The 21,410-nt window shown below is 41.5% G+C and overlaps 2 protein-coding genes and 1 long non-coding RNA gene across 4 annotated transcripts in view; 1 reads left to right on the forward strand and 2 right to left on the reverse strand.

Annotated features, from left to right (window-relative positions):
* The window catches only part of GRIN3A (glutamate ionotropic receptor NMDA type subunit 3A), a 169,296-nt gene that overhangs the window by 21,813 nt on the left and 126,073 nt on the right, over positions 1-21,410 (reverse strand). Inside the window, exon 7 of one of the 2 annotated variants that reach the window (XM_011518211.3) lies at positions 18,366-18,573. The exons of the other annotated variant lie outside the window; for it this stretch is intronic. Coding sequence (XP_011516513.1) covers positions 18,562-18,573 — 12 coding nt within the window. The 3' untranslated portion in view covers positions 18,366-18,561. Of the gene's footprint in view, positions 1-18,365; positions 18,574-21,410 lie in introns of those variants that run through there. 2 annotated transcript variants of the gene reach the window in all.
* On the reverse strand, positions 440-3,805 carry PPP3R2 (protein phosphatase 3 regulatory subunit B, beta). The gene has a single exon (NM_147180.4). It carries the CDS (start codon positions 3,755-3,757, stop codon positions 3,245-3,247), a length of 513 nt encoding a protein of 170 aa, NP_671709.2. The 5' UTR covers positions 3,758-3,805; the 3' UTR covers positions 440-3,244.
* On the forward strand, positions 3,810-4,651 carry LOC105376186 (uncharacterized). Its single transcript, XR_001746863.2, has 3 exons — positions 3,810-3,924; positions 4,179-4,344; positions 4,433-4,651. It is a non-coding gene; the product is annotated as an uncharacterized LOC105376186 (long non-coding RNA).

A 21,410-nucleotide genomic window follows, 5' to 3' on the forward strand; every position in this document is an offset into this window, starting at 1 on the left:
TCTCAAGATGAGCCAAAGGTGGAACATGGCTTAAAACTGTCTCGTCTAACATATCTGTTTCATTGCAATGCATAGAACCAAAGAGGTGGAGGCTGCTTGTTCTTTGACAAGCAATTTACCTCTTTGGGCTTCAGTTTCATCATTTATGAAAACTGAGGCTTGATTTGATGACATGGTTAAGACTATAATAAATAATTTGTAACAGGTAGATATAGGAGCTATAAAAATAAGATAAATGCAGAGAGGTAGAAATAAAGCTCAGGATTTGGGGTCAGAAAGCCTGGTTCAAATCCATGCTTTGCCACTTACCAGCTGGGCGACTTTGGAGAAGATGCTAGATCTCTACATGGCATCATCTGTAATGCTGAAATAATGGCACCAGACTCACAGTGTTGTTATGATGATTAAATGATATGTATAACAAAGGTTATATCAAAAGTTATGGGACAATTGCTCAATAAATGTTTATTATCATCATCCCAAGAAACTGTATAGAACTAGATTTGTTGGCAACTGGCAATTAACTGACAGGAAAAACAAAGCATTCCGATTTGGGAATAAATGTGATTCTTTTAACCCAAATATCCAGTTAGATCTTTCAAGTGCTAAATCCAGATACAGGCTCTCAGTTCAAGGTCATTGCCACAAAGCCTTAGGTAACTATCTTGAGTAGATTTATTGAACAATTAGCTTGTAAATTCCAGCCACTCCAGAAACTGAAACACATTTCCTCTCTTTGTTAAATGTGAGCATGTAATCCAATATGTTTCAAGCCCTTGGTCATAATTTTAAAATTTCCATATTTTAATGTGCACATTGCAGGGTGTATAAATAATGCCTCTCTTTAATGACAATAATGTCCTCTTGGCTAGCATGACATGTGCTCACTTCCTCCATGTAAAATTCCTCCACAAAAAGTTAAATAGGTTGGGCTGGAATGAGAGATTTTGTTTTAAAAATTCTCCAGTTCTCAGGTCAGAAAGTCTGTTGTCCCCTCTGCAAATGAAGGAGTGGTGAGGACCTTGAAATTGTTCCCATTGTTTTCTCTCTGGGCTTGGACATGGGCTGTACACTAATGTCCAGTTAATTTTAGAGTGGGTGTAGCTAAGAACTAAGTAAGTGTTCAAAAGCAACCAGTAAGCCTCATGTCTCCTTTACATATTGATCTTGTAGAAGGGGAAGAAGGGGGAAGGGAAGGGAATTAGTTGAATGAAAGTGGAATTGTGCTCCAGGTGTGTTGCATGCCTTTTTGAATCCTCAAAATAACCCTGGGGTGGATCCTCTTTAATTAGGTGGAAAGACACAGAGAGGCTAAGTAAATTATTCATGCTCACACAGCTAAAAAGAAGTGAGTGTGATAACAACCCAGTTGCAACTGAATCCAAACCCAGGTGTGTCTGAATCTTTGAACATTACATAACCCTGATCACCACAGGGTTGGGAGCGTTTATCACAGTTTTTAGGGTTGAACAGGAATTGAAGGGGTAAGGATTCCTATTTTTGTGGTTTCTAAGTAATCTATTAAATACAAAAGTATATGGTAGGGTACCTTGATAGATGGGTTCCCTACAAGTGATTAAATTTGTGGACTTTTTTTTTTTTTTTCTATTTTGGTCAAGACCAGTTGCCAGCTTCTTCCAAATAAAATAGCAGTAAATCTCCTTGAAACAGATCTTCCATGTCCTGAAAAAAGTTACCTGAGTGGTATCTCTTGGCTAAGCAAGTGTAGGGAGAGTATGTTTCATTGTTCTGCTGTTTTGAGAGCCTTAAGCATCTTATATGGGAAGTGGTTCTCTGTGAGAAAGAGGATTGGTATGGAGGCACAGATGCTGGGACAAGTCCTAGCCCTGCTCTTCTGAGGACAGTTCATGCTCTGAGAACTCACAATAGTATGTGGGACACCTCAGGGAGCTGGTAACATTTGGGGTACAGGCAGTGATGTATTTACTGGTAAACAAATTCTCCAAAACAAAACAAAAACAACTAAAAGCTTTTGTTCTTTTCTCACCATGGCTGATCTAAAGCTACCAACATGACATAAATGCGTGGGAAGAGACACATGCATTCTGGATCTCCCCTGGAACCACAGGCTCCGGCTCACCCAATGGTGGAGATCTGTTAGTGTGTGAGGACTTCTGCACTGAATGTTCCACTAGGGAAAAGGCTTCCTGGAATGAGAGAGCTCTCAGTTTCTCTTCTAGGCCTCAGATCTGATTTTCAAAATCAGCATAGCTGGTGTAGCTAGCATCCACCTCTGCTGTGGAGACACAATTGTCAGTCTCTGCATCTGTGAGCAACAGACATAATGCCACTTTGGCATCCTAGGGAGATTCCACTGCAGCCTGACTCTACTGCCTCTCCTCCGTAGGACAACTAACTAAATGTCTCATTGTCTCCACCTGGGGGTAGGGACCAGTGTCGGAGGTGAGAGCACTTTCTGGGAGAACACTTTGCTTGCCCTATTTAGCTGGAGGTCCCCTTCATTGAAATTAATGCTGGTGTGGGCTGCCAACCCTGGAAACCCACTGCTAATGAGGATGATGGCTGAGCTGGGCACTTAGTCCAGGCTTAGCATTTCCTATAAGAGCCCTGAAGCTAGTTTCTGTTCAGGAGCTGGAGCAACAAGTCAGGAGGAGGCCAAATGAACTCCTACCCCTCAAACATGCACAGCGATTTCTGGATGCATTGTGGGGAATGGGGCTGCAATCTGCCGAAGGAAAAGATGGGATTCTGTCCCCTAAGAAAAGTGATTACGAGATGCCCAGCAAAGACAAATATATTTGTCCCTGTTGCTACAATAGGAAGTTAACAATCTGGCAAGATATCTGAACACAAGCAAATGAAAACAGTTCACCTAACACCCATGCAAATTATAAATTTCCTCCCATATACAAAATGATGAGAAATAACAGCAAAAATGTATACTTTCTTATTTTTGAACTTTTAAAGTTCTAGTTTGGTCTTTGAATCAAAACAAAGTAAAAGATGTTTATAAAAGCCATTTCCTTTTCTTTCCCCACTATGCTCATTTGACTTGCTCTTCCCCCTATAGGGTACCCTGAGTCATTCAGAGAAGGAGAATTAATAGCACTGAGTTGGTGATGAAGCTCCTGTTAGGACATATGGCTTCACAAAAAGAAATACTTCCAGATAAGTCAGAGAGACAGTTGGACGTCTTGAGCAAATCTTGAAAGAGATAGGGAAGAAAGCAGAAGTTGTTGGGTGGTGCTTGTAAGAAAAAGGCTCATACGATGAGGACCAGCTTCTTGTGGATCTCCAGGTCTCTGACCACAGCACTGAATTCCTCAAAGGATATCTTCCCATCGCCATCCTTGTCCAGGATGATGATGGTTTTGTCGACCAGCTGCTGGAGCTGCCAGTCCGTCAGGTTGTTGCCCACCATCATCTTCAGCACCTGGAAGAGCTCCCCGTTGGAAATGTAGCCATCTTTATCCATGTCGTAAATGCTGAACGCAAACCTCAACTTCTGCTCCTCGTCGCCCTTGACGCTGAACTGGGAGGTCCCCAGGATGAATTCCTTGAAGTCCACTTCTCCATCACCGTCGGTGTCGAAGACGTCGATCACTCGCCGCACCAACGGGTTGTGGCGCAGCTCCGGCAGGGACATGAACTCCTCCACGCTCAGAGACCCTGATTTGTCCAAGTCCAACTTCTTAAACCTCCTGCCCAGCCTTTTAATTTCATCATTGTCAAAGTGGGAGCACATCTCCGCCGGGTAACTGGCCTCGTTTCCCATTGTGGACATCTGGCAACGGCCACGGCTCAAAGGGTCGGAGAGGGGAGCAGGGGCGGTGAGCTCGGGCGGGGCTCGTGCCCGGACGGTTGGGCCATGGGGTGGGGGTAGAGGGCTCCCGGGGGCCCTGGTCGAGCAAAAGGGCAGGGGAGCGGAGGGAGGGGCGGCAGGTCAGAGAGGGAGCGGAGAGAGGAGGGAAAGAAGGAGGGAAAAGGGGGCGGAAGGGGAGGTGGGTGCTGTCTGGGCAGGAGTATAGGGAGGAGAGAATGGAGCCTGGGGGTGCCCGGGAGAGGCAGAGGTGGAAAGCTGGGCTGCCCCTTCTCTTTTTCCTTCTCTCAAACTCCTTGTACCTTTCCATGATAACCCCAATTTCCCTGGCAATTATTTTATCTACTTATTTCTTTTTTTTTTTTCTCTGAGAAAGTAAACCCCAAAGGAGAAGGGATCGCACCTGTGTTATTCGCTGCAGTATCCCAGAAGCACAGTGCTTCACAGGCAATATGTGCTTAATAAATATACGCCGAATGACTGAACTGCAACCAAGGACACTGTATACTTGCTTTACAGACCTAGTGTAAGGATGAAACAAGGTGACACATCAAGGCATTGATATAGTATGTTTTCCACGATTCCCTGGGAGGGGAAGCCGGGATTGACATCCTTCTGTACCTTTTTCAGGACGTAGGATTCAGAGTGTTTGTAAGAGACCAGGCAGATACCGCGCAGAATTTCTTACATGGATCACCTACAGGCACTAACATATTCCCGAGGAATATAAACAATGCTGAATTCAGGGCGTTTTTCAAGATGACACAGGTCTCAAGAACACAACCTCTGTTACTCTGTTCCCTCTTATCCATCATCTCATGCCCGAGTCACATCTTTGTTGTTGGTGCCTGGCGGCTATTCTGCAGAATACCTTGGGGGAAGGTCTGCAATGTGCCCAAAGAAGCCTTTTGTGTGTGTTGAGAGTGACAGTCGCCTCTGGATGATCTCACTTTTCTCCTTTTGTTTCAACTAGATTTGTTCTTTCTGTTGAAGACTAATCTCACATGCTCCCTCTTATTCCTTCTTCCTTTCGGAGCGCATCAATTACTCCAAATGCATAAGAAACAAATGTGGTTCAAGAGCAAACAGTTCAAAGGGACTTGGGGGAACCTCAGGCCACTACATCAAACTGAAAGATGCAAACACTCCTTCGCTTTAAAAAATGTTGGCAAGTTCTGTGTTCTATAGTTCAGCCAAAATATCAGTCTAAAGATAACCATGCTGGAACTAGCAAAACTAAGCCACTGATCACCTTATCATTAAGTCTGGCCATTTTACTTTCCTCTATAAACAAATGATAATCCATGGATATGTTTTAAAGCTGATTATGGGCATTACACAAATGAAACCCCCTTTCCCAATTAGACTGTTATATTGGAATGTTTTTTTGTTTCATTTATTTGCTTGCTTTTCAGTTATTCAGAGAAATGAGCATGGTACAGTTTGCATATAAGCCTATTGAATTTGCAATATTAAGGATACCACCTTAAATTATATTACAAGATGCCTAAAATCAGTGTTGGTCTCTAAATGATACCAACCACTATAGCCTGTGTTCTTTCTAAAGCACAAAGACCTTTCTGGACTCTCTGGGGGAAATATCCAGGCCCTGCAGGTGCAGTTCTGAAAAAATCAGAAACCTCAGGGGCAAGGACAGAACTCTATCTTTTGGGCATGCACTGGGGCTGGGAGCCTCTAGAATTGTGTTATTTCTCTCATCTTGTGTCTTTGACCACAGTGTAGTCCAGTTTCTTGGCTGCAAGTAAAAGAATCTACCTCTAAGAAGCTTAACATGAAAGATAATTTGTTGGAAGAATCTCACATAATCTAAAGAAGAGCTGAATGATTCAGTCTTAGGAAGGGTGAGGATCCCACTGGGTTTAAGGAAATATTGGAACCAACGCCTCAGGACCAGTTATGTAATTTGCAGTGTCCTTTGTTTGAAAATGATTGAGAGCTTCAAGATGGCCACAGCAGAACATTAAACCAAGTACGGGACCTTATGAGACTGCGTGGGCCACATGCCCATGAAGCTGGCCCTGCAAGGAGTTGGGCCCATTGACCTCTCTGTGCCTTTCACCTCTGCTTCTCTTTCCTTCACTCTCTCCTATGGTAAAGCAATTCTTCCACATTGCAGAGGACACAACCACTGACAGATTCCAAGTTAAGACTTTGGGGATTTTATCATCAGAAAAGACGGACTTTTCCCTGTTCTAGTTAGATGCCCATAAATCCCATGAACAGGCTCTGATTGGTCTCACTTGGGTTGGGTTCCCACCTATGAGCCATCAGACATGGCTTATAACATATGGGAGCTTCCATTTGAACCTCATGGATGGAGCTGGTCGGGGGGAAGTGGGGGCTGGGTAGGAAGAGCAGGTACCAAAAGAAGCACATGCTCTTCCTTATAAGAACAGGGTAATGCTGAGCAGACAGAACAACAGATGGACATTAGACAGGTCCATTAGTGCTGACTCTATAGGAGAGAGGAAGCATTTTGAACTCCCTTCAGTTTTGCCAACTGAATAGGCCACAGATCCTGCTATAGTTACAGGCCTCCACTAGCTCATTCATTAGTGCCAGGTCCATCTTATTATTTGCTAAAATATCCCTTCACCTCTGTGTAGATAGAATTGGTATCTCACTTGCAGACACTCTTGTGTTTACAAACTGTGGGTTACAACACATTAGTGAGTGATGAAGTTGGTTTAGTGAGTTACAAACAACATCAAAAAAATAGAACAGCAGATAATTGAAGAGAAAGTATCATCTGTAAGGGGAAGTACTATTACTTCATAAAGTTGTTTATAAAGTTGTAAAAAGTTTACTTCATAAAGTTGTAAAACTAAATATAGTATATATATGATAAAGGAATACCAGGTCATTCTGGGTTTGCAATATGACATATTTTCTTGCTTGGATTATGGTAAAAAATAAAGACAGTCTGACATATACTATAGAACATAGTGTTTTGATATCTTATGTTATAGGCTCATGAGCCATGAGAATAATTCAACAGCAAAAACATTTTCATACTGGTTGGTTCTCTGTGAGATCAGTATGTGGGGATAAAGTAGATGAATCTTGGAATAATAATCTATAGCAGTGCTGTCTAATTATATATGTACTTTTAAATTTTTAGTAACATTAAAAAGCAAAGAAGTGAATTTTAATAATATATTTATATTAACCCAATATATCCAAAGTGTTACCGTTTCAACATGTAACCAATATTATCATTTATGAATGAGTTGTTTTACACTTTTTGTACTGTATTTTATATTTACAGCACATGTCAATTAGAGCTCATAACATTCCCAGTGCTCAGTAACTACATGTGGCCATCATAGTGGACAGCACAGAGCTAGACAGTTTAATGGAAAAGGAAAGATATGGAGGCTAAAATATTTGATGGTTGAATTATTATCCCAATTGAATTAATTAGGTTAAAAAGAGGTATTATTAATTAGGTATTATATTATAAGGTAGAAAGGATTTAAAATGGGACAACCCAACATCAAATCTTAACAGTCCACTTAGTAGCAGTAAGACCTTGGACAAGTTGCTTGACATTAGTTTTCCCATATGAAAAATGGGGCTAATAATATATATTTTGTACATTTTTGTGAGTATTAAAGCTAATGTTAGTCAATATAATGTCATTATCATCATTGCTATTATTACTAATTTTATTGTTACTTACCCTACTAGTAGAGATGAAGTCTTAAAGGATACCAGCCTGCCCTGGACACCTAAGTGTACATATAGCCATTTAACAACACTCCTCATGTAGTGGTTACAGTATGCCACAGGCTGCTCACACGCTATACCAGCATAAAAATTGGCTCCTCCAGTTCAAAACTCTTTGAGGACTGATTACAGACCTTCCATTGCAGACTTGAGAAATGCAGTAACCAACATCACTGGCCCATCAGGCACTCTTATGGATTCCTCACTTACATTCTCCTGAGTAATTCCTTGATAGTCATTTAGAAAGGAGCTCCCAGTGTGAAAACTCTTAGCTGTATTTCCCTATGTGAGTGTGTGGTTAGGAGGTAGGAAAGGGTAATGGAGAGAGCATAGGAGGTAAATAGTTGGTTCCAGCCTCAGCTCTTTACCTTATTAGCTGTGAGCCTTTGAGTGAAGCCATTGCTGTACCAGCCTCAACATCCTCATCTGTGAAATGGTGATAATACCTACACATGCTTCATCTACCGATGTGTTATTGTAAGAGTCAGATGAGGTAGCGTATATAGAAATGTTATGTAAGAGGTGAAATCTTGTCACAGGAATATTGAATGGTTACACAGACAGTATTAGGAAGATGGTACCACTTCACTGAAATAATTCAGGTGTACAAGCAGAACCATTCTACTCTGTGCTGTAGAGGAGGTAACATTATGCTAGATCTGGAGTTTTAGTCAATGTGAACTTGAGTTCCCATTGTTCTACCTTTCATAAACTATGTAGCTCAGCATTATTATGGGACTCAACACCATTGTTTTGATTTTCTCTGTAAATGATTCTTAGTAATTTCCATGGAAAACACTGTTTGTTACTTTTCTGTTCATCACTGTGGATTGATGTGGACTGTAGGACATTCACTGAAGCAAGTAAATTAAAAGGGTTGACTAACTGTTTTGGAAGAAACCAGGAGCCTTGATGGCACCTCTATTTCAGCATGTCATTTTTTTCCCTCAAAAGTTTTTAGATAAAGAAATATTGAGTAGGTCACATGTAAAAATAACTGACATTGGAAAATCAAACCAACGGAAATGGAAATGAGACCTGAGGTTCATATAAGGCTTCATTTTTCAAGCCAGTCAGGAGACCAGGTCACACAGCTGTTCTAGAAGCTATACAGGTGGTCCTTGACATTTGGTTGGAAGCTCTCACCTTTCTGTAGCATTGCCGGTCACCATATTTAATATCTAAGCGTACTGACGTTAGCCACAGTTTAGACTGTGGAACTACTAGCTCGAGTTTAAACTGTTTTTGAGCATCAGGTTTGTCATCTGTTTGGTTTTCTTTTGTAATACTGAAATGGTGTTTAATGAATTTTGGCATGTATGGTTTTAAATCAAAGTTTTGCTATTTAACAACTTTGTGACCTTGGGCAGAGTTACTTATCTGAATCTTTTCACTCATCTGTAAAACAAGGATGATGATTACTAACTCATAACATCACTTTCAGGATTAAATGAGATAGATTATAAGAAGAAGGGTGCTCAATGCCTATCACATAGTAGGTACAGGAATGGTAGAGATTATAATTATTGCCTACTTTAGGCTTGCTTAAAAACTCAAGTAGACTGTATGCATACATGCACACAGATATACTCAGCTATTTATTTGTTTTCTCAACAAATAATTATTGAGGATCTACTATGTGAGAAGAATATAATACTGACCTAAAGTGGATACTTTTCTTGTTGTCCCTGTTCTCCTGGAGCTTACAGTTTTGATGGGAAGATGGACATTAACCAAATTATCATGTCCATAGATGTAAAGGAGCACCTGCCTTGAGTGTTACAGATGAGAAGTACATGGTACCAGGAGAGTTTGGACAACAGAAAACTTTTACTGGGGAAATGATGACTGATTTACAATCTCAAGAAGCAGAAGAAGTTAACTAGATGTTCTGGGAAGGAATGAGTGTTCCAGGTAGAAGAAACTCCATGTGCAAAGAGGCCCTAGGGCAGGAGGAACAAAACAAGTAGGAGGAACTGAAAGAATGCCAGTGTGACTGGAGTAGGGAGGTCAAGGGAGAGCATATGGAGCATACCGGAGTAGGGAGGTCAAGGGAGAGCATGGTATTGGACGAAGTGATAAGATGGTTTGACCATTCCCCATACACTGAAGAAAAGACAACATTTACTCAATTATTCTTTATAGGGCATCATTTATTCAATCATGTTTTAACATGTAAAGCATTGGGACATTCAGAGATGGTCTTTGCTCAGAAAGCTTGCTGATCAGTGAGTGAATTGAGGCATTAAAGAATTATAATTAATAATACAAGATGGACAACAAAACATGTCATCAGAGAGGTAAGGGAAAAGAACTATAAGAACTCAGAGAATTGAGAAATTACTTCTTGCTGGGAACAATAGAGGAAGACTTTTTTCTTTCTTCAAGAAGTATTTGATCCTGAGGGAGAAAAGGGAACAAGTACCATAATCACAGAAGTGGGAAAGAGTACAGGTGTAGATATTAGCAAGTTGCTTATAATGGCTGAAGTACTTGAGCAAAGTAGCAGAAGATGAGCTAGACAGAACCAGATGAAGCAGGGTTTTGAATGTTTGGCTAAGACATTTAGTCTCTACCCAGTAGGGAAAGCACACGTTTTATCAAAAGAACAACTTAATCACAATTATATTTTGGAGAGATTAATCTGGCATTATGGGTAGATTGAATAGGACAAGAGACCAGTATCTGGGAGAGCAGCTAGGAAACAATGACATCTACAAATGCTTGTCTAGAAGAGCCTGAGCTGGGATGCAAGAGGCACTAGAAGTAAAATGTGGAGTGTATTAATTATTTTGCAAGAGCTGTTGTAATGAAGCAGCACAAACGGGGTGGCTTAAACAACAGACATTTATTGTCCCCTAGTTCGGGAGGCTAGAAGTCTGAAATCAAGGAGTTGGCAGGGTCATGCTCCCTTTGAAACCTGTAGGGCAACCCTTGCTTGCCTCTTCCTAGCTCCTGGTGGTTTGTGGTCATCTTTGGCCTTCCTGACTTGCAGATGCATAAATCCATTCTCTGCCTTCATCATCACATGGTGCTCTCCCTGAGTGTCTGTCTTTGTGTGATAGATGGCTTCTGACAAGGATGCCAGTCATACTGGATTCGGGGTTCACTCTTGCTGCAATATGACTGCATCTCAGCTCAACCAAACATGTCTGCAATGACCCTATTTCCAAACCAGAACACATTCTGAGGTATTGAGAATTAGGACCTCAGAACCTCAATATCTTTTTTGGGGGACACAATCCAACCCATAACACCTAGGCTGAAGTCTTATTGGACAGAAGGACAGAGGGAAGGAGCTCAGAGGAGGCCCCAGATGTGCGTGCATTGGCTTCCCTGGCCAGCTAGCCCTAAGCTTTCATGTTGCAGGAAGCCACCTATACTGTGTGAGAAGAGGGGCATCTCTATAAAGGCTCCAGGGCTCTCTCATGATGTTGCCTTCTCATCCAACACGTCCTGAAATTCTACCAACTCCCACAGCCGCATGGGGAGGAATTGTCCTCAGATACCCTGGAGGAAATGTCAGGGCAATTTCTCACAATTTTAGACTTGGTTTTTGCCTTTTGTGAGAAAGAAAAAAGATGGCTTTTGCAGTATTTTGTAACAACTCGCATCAATAGCCACTAGATGGCAATCTTCACACATTTCCATGCTTTCTCCGCTTTCTTCAAACCCGAATCCTCAAAGCCTGGAGGCAACTCCTCTCTGCACAGGGAATAGAGGTGAGTGAGGAGTCCCATTTCCTGTGATCCCCCACAGACTTTAGTGCATGGAAGTCTAAAAAAATGGAAGGAAGACTGTCTCTCACAATAGTCCTAATCAGTTTTAGCACCGTTCATACCTTTTAGTTGCATAGTAAATAGCATTTCATAAATATTCATGAGTTTGCCGAATTTAACCAGGGGAAAAGCAAGAACTCTTAACAGTATGTGGTCTTGGGTGTAATTTATGCCCAAGTATCTCTGGCATATAAAAGCGGGGACTCTTATTCCGAGAGGTCTGTTTACTTGGTCGTTAGCAAGGGTGAAGGAGACACTTGCTGAAATTAGTTTTCCTTCTCTCAGAATCCTAATTTGTGTTATTTATAGTAGCCAGAAAGCAACAGAGAAGCAGCCCTAATCTTGTGATGATACGGAGGGAGGGGAAAACAAGACCAGAGAATTGTAGGTCTTGGGCCTGTTCACACAGGAGCCTAACTTCGAAATACAATTGACTACATGCAAAGACCAAGTTACCATTGTTTCCGTAAAGATCTGTTTTAAGTGCAGTCTAATGGTTTGTATAAAGCATCTTCACTTTTTCCCACTCAGACACTGAGCTAGAGGAAAGAAAGAACACAACACTACAAAAGTTAGTTAAACCAGCAATTTGAAAAGTAGAAAATTCCAGAATCATGCATTTCTCATTTTGAAATAAAAAATTATTTGGTTCTATAACATACGTAAGCAATACATAAAAGAGTGTTTATCTCGGAGTTAGAAGATGCTTGTAATGATAAGATGCTCCTGCTTTTTTCGAGATGGGACCAAGATGGGCCTAAGAGGGTGGGTGCACCAACTGTAATTTCTTGTCTATGCTTATTATTCACCAAATATATGTATTTTTTCTGCGTGCATGGTTCTATAATCAGGGAAGGAGAGAACATTTGTCAAGCCAGGTGTTCGCCATAAACGATCTCATTAAATATATTTCACACTTTCAGTCAGGCCCTATTATTATTCCCGGGTTTGGAGGAAGATCTGAAGTTTTGGAAGTTGCACAGCTTGCGTAGACACACAGTGGTGGAGCTGGGAGTCAAATCCTGGTATGTTGCTCCCAGAGCTGAAATTCTTCTGTATTCTAGACTGCCTTCCATATAAGACTAGAAAAGATGTCCCTGCCTTTGAGGAGGTGGTAGGGAAGCTACAAGCCCGAGCACAGGAAAAGTAAAGGCCTATAATTTACTTGTGGGTTTACCTGTGACTGGATAACAAGCGGGCCAAAGAAAGCAGCCACCTGTAATTTTAGAATCCCTCGGGAAGGGGCCCTATTAACAGGGCATACAATTCTGTCAATCCAGTATGATTGGGTGCAGTGTCTTCGAAGGGCAAGGCCAAATTGCATTGCTTACAATTTCACGCCTCAGTGTTTTACTCTGGTTTTGCCTGGAGGCTTCTTCCGCTACAGGGGTTACCTCCTCCAGGAAGCCTGCTTTGATTCCTTCTAGCTCTTCCATGTGTGAATTATGGCCTTGTTTGTGTCACGGCTTACCTTATGTCTTCATTTATTGCTGCCCCTGTGGCGGTGTGGAATTGGGTATTTTTCACAAGTCTCTCTTGAGCTCCTATGAGCTCTCTGCCTGTGAGCTCTGTATTCATCTCTGCATTGGCTGCACCCAGCATGGGACATGGTACGTGGGAATTCAACACGTTTGCTAATGGATGGATGGGAGAAAGGAAGAGAAAGAAAAGGAAGGAAGGGAAGGAGGGAGAAAGAGAGAAAGAAAGGGAAGGAATGAAGGAAAGGAAGGAAAAGAAAGACAAGGAAGAAAAGGGAAAGAAAGACAGGAAGAAAGGAAGCAAAAGAAAGAACGAATGAATTTGGAAATTGTTCTTGTAGCAAGACAGATGAAGATGAGGTCTTTCTCAGACTGGCTTCCCTTTCTTCAGGCCTAATTTTACTCCATGTCATAAAAGAATACATGGACAACTTTGTGCTTCTTCGGGTTTTCAGAACATACTACCTGGATAGGTTCCATCTGATCTTATGCTTGGCTTAAATATTAAACTTAATTACTTAGGCTATTCTAAGGAAAGCACTCAGCTGTCAAGGTGGCTCTTGATATACACGAGTTTTCAATTTAAAGCAATCTACAGTCATTAACTCTCCTTGCCTCCCCATAACTTTCATCAGGTTGAAGAGCAGACAGTGACATTTTAAATGGAAAAGAGAAGGGGTAGGAATGAGAAAGGGGCAGGAGGGTGTTGGGATGTGGGCTAGCTGTCAAGAGCAGAAAATACTGCATTAAAACTGCCCTCCCCCACTGCCCTAACCATTCCCTTTGAGTTTTTAATATGAATTAAAGATAAACTGGTCAGAAAAAACTGACTGGCATTGAAGCTTCTCAATGTGACTTGTGGGATTCCCTTTGGCTTTCAATGTATAGTTGACTAACCCTTCCCTTTCCCTTTCCAAGAAGTTAACAGAGGAAAGAATGGATCTGCTGTGAGAGAACTCCATTTTCTCAATAAATATTAATAGGTAAACACATATTAATATATCATATATGCATTTTGGTGGTCCTTGGGAATCAAGTCTGGGTCCCTGGCCAGGGATGGGGAGCCCAGGCTGGAGGCCAGTCAGTCCACTGTCCTCCTCTGTGCCCCGGGACCCATATCTTCAATTAGTTAGGCCAGGAATCCTCTTAAACAATCCTACTTGAGAATCACAGCATCTCTTTGCTGGCCATGGTACATGGTCCTTTATTTTAAGGCAAAGAAACAAGTTTACAGAAGTGAAGTGATTTGTCAAAGGTCATGGAACTGGTTCGCAGCAGTGTCAGGACAAATATGATTAACACTATCCATTCAGCACCTACTGTGTGTCAGCACTTTGATGTATGTGATCTCTATTCTTTATACCAAGCCAGAAACATAAAATATCTCAGTTTTGCAGTGTAGGGAAGTCAGGGAGGTTAAGCAATTTGTGTTCATGACATTTTGATGTGGATGTTTTGATACCATGGTTACTTTTACTTTTGCACCTATACCATGCTCCTTAAAAACAACCATTTAAACTTCCATTTTTGAAACTACCTCATAACGAGGTTAATAGACATCTTCACTCCATCCGTGCCCTATGGATCCATCTTTTAGTGGGTGAAGGTAAAGGCTGGGGGAGGATAGGAAAGGTCAAGAATGGACTGAAGGTCAGATGGAGGCTGGTGGTTTCAGGAATAGGGTGAAGCAAAAGATGGGGAAAGTTCAGATATGGGGTACTGTTTCCTGCTGCGCACTTCCCCTGATAATAAAATCACTGGAGAGTTTAATGATTTACTTTTGGACTGTTTCAAAATATGCTTCTCCTTTTCCCTATCCCATGCAATCAAGGTCTCTGGGTTCCAAGGTTAGAGCTTTCACTCTAATGTTTGGTTTCTTGCTTAGTATGTGTTTCCCTCAGTACTCAATAACAACGGAGGAGATCCCTGGATTCAGCAAGAAAATCTTGTAACAATCAAGTAAGATACGCATTAAACTGAGGCTCAGAGAGGTTAGGTAATTTTCTCAAGGACATAGAACTGCCTCCTCCTAGTGATGGGAGAGCCAGGGTGGTCTGACTCCCAAGACCAGGGTCATTTAAGTGGACTTGATTGTACTTCTCTCTCCTTCCCAACAAGTGCAAGGGCATGGTCTCTCTCCCCGCAGGCTGGACCCCTGTCTGGAAGTGCAGAGGCTGCACACTCTCAGACAGTTGGGTTGCGGCCACTTTTCTGTGGCTGACCCCATCCCACATTCATCTGCCATGAGGGACAGTGCTGGACATTCTTCTGCCCTTCCAGATCGACTCTCCATCTTTCTTCCTCCTGCTTTGTGCCCTGGGAAGCGGACCTCTCTGCACCATATCGACAGGCTCCCTGGACCTGAGGTAGAAGATGCAAGGGTAGGAGGAGACCAAACTCAGGTATTTATTCCCTGGGTGTCTTCCAGGCAGGTCACTGTCGGATGGCTGTACCCCTGGTCAAATGGCCAAGGCTCTTAGAAAGCCCTCTCCTATTTCTCCCTGGGTTCTAAAAATAGGTCTCTTAATTCTTCCCTTTGAACCTAGATGTGGTAATGGCTCCCTCACTTCACCTGCCCTGGGAGACTGTAGTATCTTAACTGGTTTCCTTAAATCATACTTTTGCAAACAGTTTCTTTAAAATTCTCCTTTGATCATTGGAGTGTTCTATCTGCTCCCCACCAAGACCACTGTTTCCTCTTTCTTCCTGACTAGTTCCATTTGGTAAAAAGTGCATTATTCAAACTATCATTTAAAGGAGGCTTGCAAAAAGAAAGAAGTTATCATCTGGATATTTTAGTAATCCCTTGAAGAATTTTAGAGGTTGCTAAACTGTGGTCGGCTGCCTTGCTTTCCTGGTTTGCAAATAACCGATGTCACAAAACTCTTGCTCTGGAGCTCTTAAATTCACTTGGGGAGTTGAAAAAAATTACATTTTTTTTTTTTTTTTTTTTTTTTGCTGAGTCAAAAGAAAACAAAGGAAATTTATACCCTGTTTCCCTAATGGCACTGATTGACAATGAGTTCACTGTGGGCAGAGGCACAGGTGTGCAGGGAGGAATGTGGGGAAACATCTGAGGTCAATTTAAAATTCCTCTTTGAAAATTGCCAGAGTCTGGTCGGCAGAATTGGACCTGCAATTTCCTAAGTGACTCTGGAGAGCAGATAAAGCCCTGGAATTCAGGAAAAAAAAAAAAGTGAGTTTATCTTCCAGAGAAACTGTGGCTAGATAGCTCTGGGGCTACAAAGAGATGGAAGGTGAATAGGTCAAGGTTCTCACATTGGGCCAAGTATTAATGTCCAACTGCTAGAAATGGGGGAAAAAGGCACCTAGTAATTCTATTACTAGGTCACCATATAATTTGTTGTCTAAACTAGAATTTTTTTCAGAGTGAAAGAGAGTGTTTAATTGCTCTATAGCAACAGACTTACACAGGAACTGTAACTAGCAAAATGGTATGTAAGGTAAAAAGTAAACCGAAAAATGGAATCCTCAGGTGTCAGGGGCACCTGTTGGGAGGGGAACCATCCGGAGTATATACCCGGTTCTTCCACACTGTGCCTTGCACTCCACCCCGTGAGCAGGGAGAAGGAGGAGGGCCGTGTGTATGAGACCATCATTTTATTTACTTCACACAAGAGCCACTGATGAGATGAAGAAGCTAAAGCTGAGCTGGATTAAGGCACTCGCCAAAAGTAAGTTGGTGGTTGAAGTAGGCTTCAAGGATGGCTTGTCTGATTTCAAAGCTAATCCTGGTTCCCCACACTAACAGAGCCCGGCAGTGTATGACATTTGAAGCAAAAGGGATGGCAAGCGAAGCATTAATAATTACGCTTTCTCCTTCTGACCTTTTCTGGGAGAAAGTTAAGAAAAAAATAGCCGTTTGAGACTTAGTGTATTGAGCAATGGGAAATCCAGCAGGCAGAGGCTGTTTGCGCAGAGAAGACCAAGCTCAGTCAATGAACTGAAGATTGGTTTCATTTAATTACGTTCTATCTTTAGGTTCTGTGAGGACAATCCTGAAATTCTGTCTTAGGTTGTTCAAAACAAAAATGTCACACAAGAATATGCATTGCTGTTTAAATGTACCCAGGTAAGCATCATTACAAAATAGTTTCCTGTTCCATAGACCAGGATACACCATACAGCCGACCACCATCCCTGAGAAAGAAGAGCTCTGTGTGTGTGTGGCCCTCCTATCTCTACACACACTGATGTTACCAGAACTCTGTTATTTCTGTCCCTGGAGTTCCAGTAAGGACACAACTTTCCTCCCTTCTTCTCATTCCTAGTTCTCTTTCAAATTTAGCTGACCTGGAATGTGGGCCCAACATTGCCTGGACAAGCACAACTTGATCCTGATATTAGCCTTTTATTCAATGCTTCCAGCTGACTACATCTAGAATTTCCCAACTGCCGTTCCCCTGAATTTGGCCTGTTAAAAACTGCAATGGAAAAAATTTTGCTGTATTTTAGATGCATCATCTCAACAGTTTATGGCTTTCACTTGTTTTTCAAAACATCTTTTTTTTTGGTCTATACTTGATTTTGTTTGAAATTGCTGATAAATCCATATAGCCCTGTAACATATATGGTGAAACTTCATAATCCTTAAGAACATGGGTAACTGTGTGGTTATCATATGTAGGAATATGCTCAATATTTGAAAAGCACTATCGAACTTCATTTTTACCACAATCCTATAAAGTATATATGACTATCTCCCCAGTTTGTAGAAGCTGAGCCTCAAAATGCTCAAATAATATGTCCTGGTATCACAGCTGGTAGAGCTGGGATTCAAATATAGAACTGTCTTCAAAGTCCATGTTTCTAGCCATCATACTATATTGTATAGAATACTGAATATTCATATTTTAGGATAATATTAAGGGAAGCCAGAATCACTGTATCAAAGCTGGGAGGACTTGCTTTGCAGACGATTAAATCAAAATACCTCATTGTGCAGATGGCTAGTGGTAGGTGGGATGAGAGAAGAAGCAGCTTTCAAAGTCTGCAGAGTGAGAGTAGAAGTGGTTGGATTCTTATTCAACATGTATTCTTCTGTCTCCCCCTTCCTAAGGGAACCCTGCTTTTGTTTAGGCCTTCACGCTTCGTGATTTGACCCTGTGTTTCAAGGGAGGCTGTGCAATTGCCAATGCTGGGGAATGAATCATGATTGGCCTAATCCATCATGGTGAACCCATTCCCTCACCAATGATAGGCTTAGACATAGGCAGAAGATATAATTTTGGCCAATGAAATATGAGGAAATCTAATGGAGGGTTTCTGGTAATATTTCTTTACTTTGAAAAGAGCCATAGAAAGACACCTGAAGATATCCTAATGTAGGCAGAGGAAGAATTAGTACTTCTATTATTTACTATTCACCATGCTGTGCTTCCATAAATGACCTCTTATTCTTAGAACAAAATGGGATGGCAGGTTTTATCATACCCATTCATAGATGAGGAGACTCAGACGTAAGAGCAGTTAAGTAATTCAGCTGTTAATAGTAGAGACAGGATTCAAATCCAGAAATGTATGGCTTCAAATGTATCTTGTTTTAGGTTAGTTACTTTTACTTTGGAATAAATTTGACATAGGTTTATGTTAATAATTGTGTTGGTAAGTCTCCAATAGTGTGTTCGCTTCTGTGTGTCCAGGTAGAGTTAGGTTCTGAGTCCGCAGAGCTGTCTGTCCTTAGGTCCTCCTCCACCTAGGAATCATATGGTCCCTTCAGCTGAAGTCTTGGTCAGATGATCCTCTGAAATGACAATAGCCTAGAGGCTTGTATGTGATAAGGGAGGTTAAAATCATTCAGTAATGCTGGCTTTGGGGACAGGATTGGGAGGCTCCTTTTCTCTTAATGATTTGCTCTCAAATTTTTTAAATTAAAAATCTTTTTTGTAAAGATAGAGTCACACTGCATTTCCCAGTCTGGTCTTGAACTCCTGGGCTCAAATGATCTGCCTGCCTTGGCCTCCCAAAGCACTGGAATTACAGGCATGAGCCACTGCACCCAGCCTTGTCTTGCTGTCAATTCTGAATCACTTGAAGATGTTGACTTGAGTCAGCTATGGTCACAACAAATGATAGAAAACACCAAGTGATTGTTATTTGGCACAGGTTAGGCAACTGGTTTGTTTCCTTCCTTGGTTGAATTAACTCAATTGACTGGTATAGGCCCAAGTTCATTTCTTTTAGGAAAAGACACGCAAATCTCTCTAAATAAAGATAAAAATGTCTACCTTACAGGGTCATAGTGAGAACTACGCTCTGGGTACAGTTTCTATTACATGGTAGGAAACAGACATGCTAGCTCCCTAAGTCCCCATTTTCCTCTATGCTTCCTTCAAATGTTTGATCAATATAAAAGTTATCCAGAGGAGAAATGTTTTTGCATCTTGTAAACATTGCTAACTCTCTTACTCAATGCCATTTTTCAAAAAGAATTATTTTAGAATCTAGAACTAAATATAGGTTAACTTCTTCTTTTTCCAATTAAAAAAATTTCCAACCCATCCTATGTTTCTTTTTGTCATGGCTTCCAGGATAATCAGAAGTAAATTTAATTACCAAGGGCATTGACCAGCTTGCATCCATCTATCTATCTATCTATCTATCTATCTATCTATCTATCTATCTATCTATCATCTATCTATCTACATTTTTATCCTTATCATCTAGATGTCTATCATCTATCTGTATTAGTTCCCTAGGGCTGATGTAACAAATGTAAAAAACAGATTTCAGTTGGGAGTTTATAATATAAAGGATTCAGCTGAGCAAGTGTCAGAGGATGGAGTATTTGAGGAAGAGGCTGGCTTAAAACAACAGAAATTTAGCCAGGCGCGGTGGCTCATGCCTGTAATCCCAGCACTTTGGGAGGCCGAGGCGGGCAGATCATGAACTCAGGAGATCAAGACCATCCTGGCTAACATGGTTAAACCCTGTCTCCACTAAAAACACAAAAAATTAGCCACGTGTGGTAGTGGGCACCTGTAGTCCCAGCTACTCGGGAGGCTGAGGCAGGAGAATGGTGTGAACCTGGGAGGTGGAGCTTGCAGTGAGCCTAGATCATGCCACTGCACTCCAGCCTGGGTTACAGTGTGAGAGTCTGTCTCAAAAAAAAAAAAAAAACCAACCAACCAAACAAAAAAACCAGAAATGTACTACCTCACAGCTTAGGAGGCCAAAAGTCTGAAATCAAGGTGTCAGCAGGGTTAGTTCCTCTGGAGGCTCTGAGGGACAACCTGTTTTATGCTTCTCTCCTAGCTTCTGAGGATTGCTGGCAATCTTTAGCATTTCCTTGGCTTGTAGCTGCATGCTCCAGTCTTTGCCTTTGTTGTCACGTGGACTTTTTCCCTGTATGTCTCTCCACAGGGTCTCCTTATAAGGATACCCATAATTGAATTTAGGGCCCACTTGACTACAGTATGGCCTCCTTTTAACTTCACTAACTACATTTTCAAAGACCCTATTTCCAAATAAGGTCACATTCTGAAGTTCTAGGTAGACATTAATTTTGGGGGTACGCTATTTGTCCCAGTACACTACCAATTTCACACCCGATGTATGCTTTTGCCTTCTGCTCCCCAATGTTTTCTCAGGTATGCTGTTCAATTTCTCTAATTGTTTATTCCACAATCACTTACTGAGTGCTGCTATATATGAGACATTGACAATACAATTGTAAACAAAATCTTTGTCCCTCACCAAGCTCTCACAGTTTAATGAAGGGACACACTAAAACAAAAACTCAATTGAGTATATGTTTAGAAATAGTATGATTTATAAATTATGACAAGTGCTATGACATAATGTGAGATATATGAGATTATGAAGGGAGATATGATTCATATTGGTCTGGGATTATCAGAGTCTGAAGAAGGGAGATCTCAGCTGGAAGTTTATAATATAAAGGATTCAGCTGAGCAAGTGTCAGAGGATGGAGTATTTGAGGAAGAGGAGGCAACAGCCTGTGCAGGGAAGCCAAGAGGAAAGTGGCTGGGATGAGGCTGGGAGGTGGGCAGGGCCAGGTCCCACAGGGCATTGTGGGCTATGCCAATGTTTCAGATTTTTGTCCCATTAACATGGGAGGCCACTGCAGGCTTCTAAGCAGAAGAATGATCTGCCACATGGAAAACAAATTTGAGGAGGCAGGAGTGATAGCAGAGAACTAGTTAGGAGACTTTTATAGTGGTCCAGGTGAAGAATGATGGCTTGGACTCGAGTGACAACAGTGGAGATGACAATAAATGGGCATATTCGAGGCATATTTTATAGAAGGAAAAGACATGGCTTGTTGATGAATGTGGAAGATGAGATGTGGGAGGCATTAAGGATCCTTGCCAGTTTCCAGAATGAGTAACTAGATGGCCAGAGGAGCCATTACCAAGATGTGAGGCACAGGAGGAAAAATAGATTTAGGAGGGAAGATCAAGGTTCAGCTTTTGACAACTTAAATTTCAGATGCCTGGAGAATATTCAAGTGGAGATGTCAAATAGGAAGGTGGATACATGGCCTGGAGCTCAGAAGAAGGGTCTGTGTTGAAATACAACTTTGGGAGTTCTTGGCAAATAGAGACTACTTGAAACCAT

This window comes from Homo sapiens, chromosome 9, assembly GCF_000001405.40.
Source record: "Homo sapiens chromosome 9, GRCh38.p14 Primary Assembly".
NCBI lineage: Eukaryota > Metazoa > Chordata > Mammalia > Primates > Hominidae > Homo > Homo sapiens.

Excerpts from the sequence above, each read along its gene's own strand:
- PPP3R2 (NM_147180.4), bottom strand. The coding sequence starts at position 3,757 with ATGGGAAACGAGGCCAGTTACCCGGCGGAGATGTGCTCCCACTTTGAC.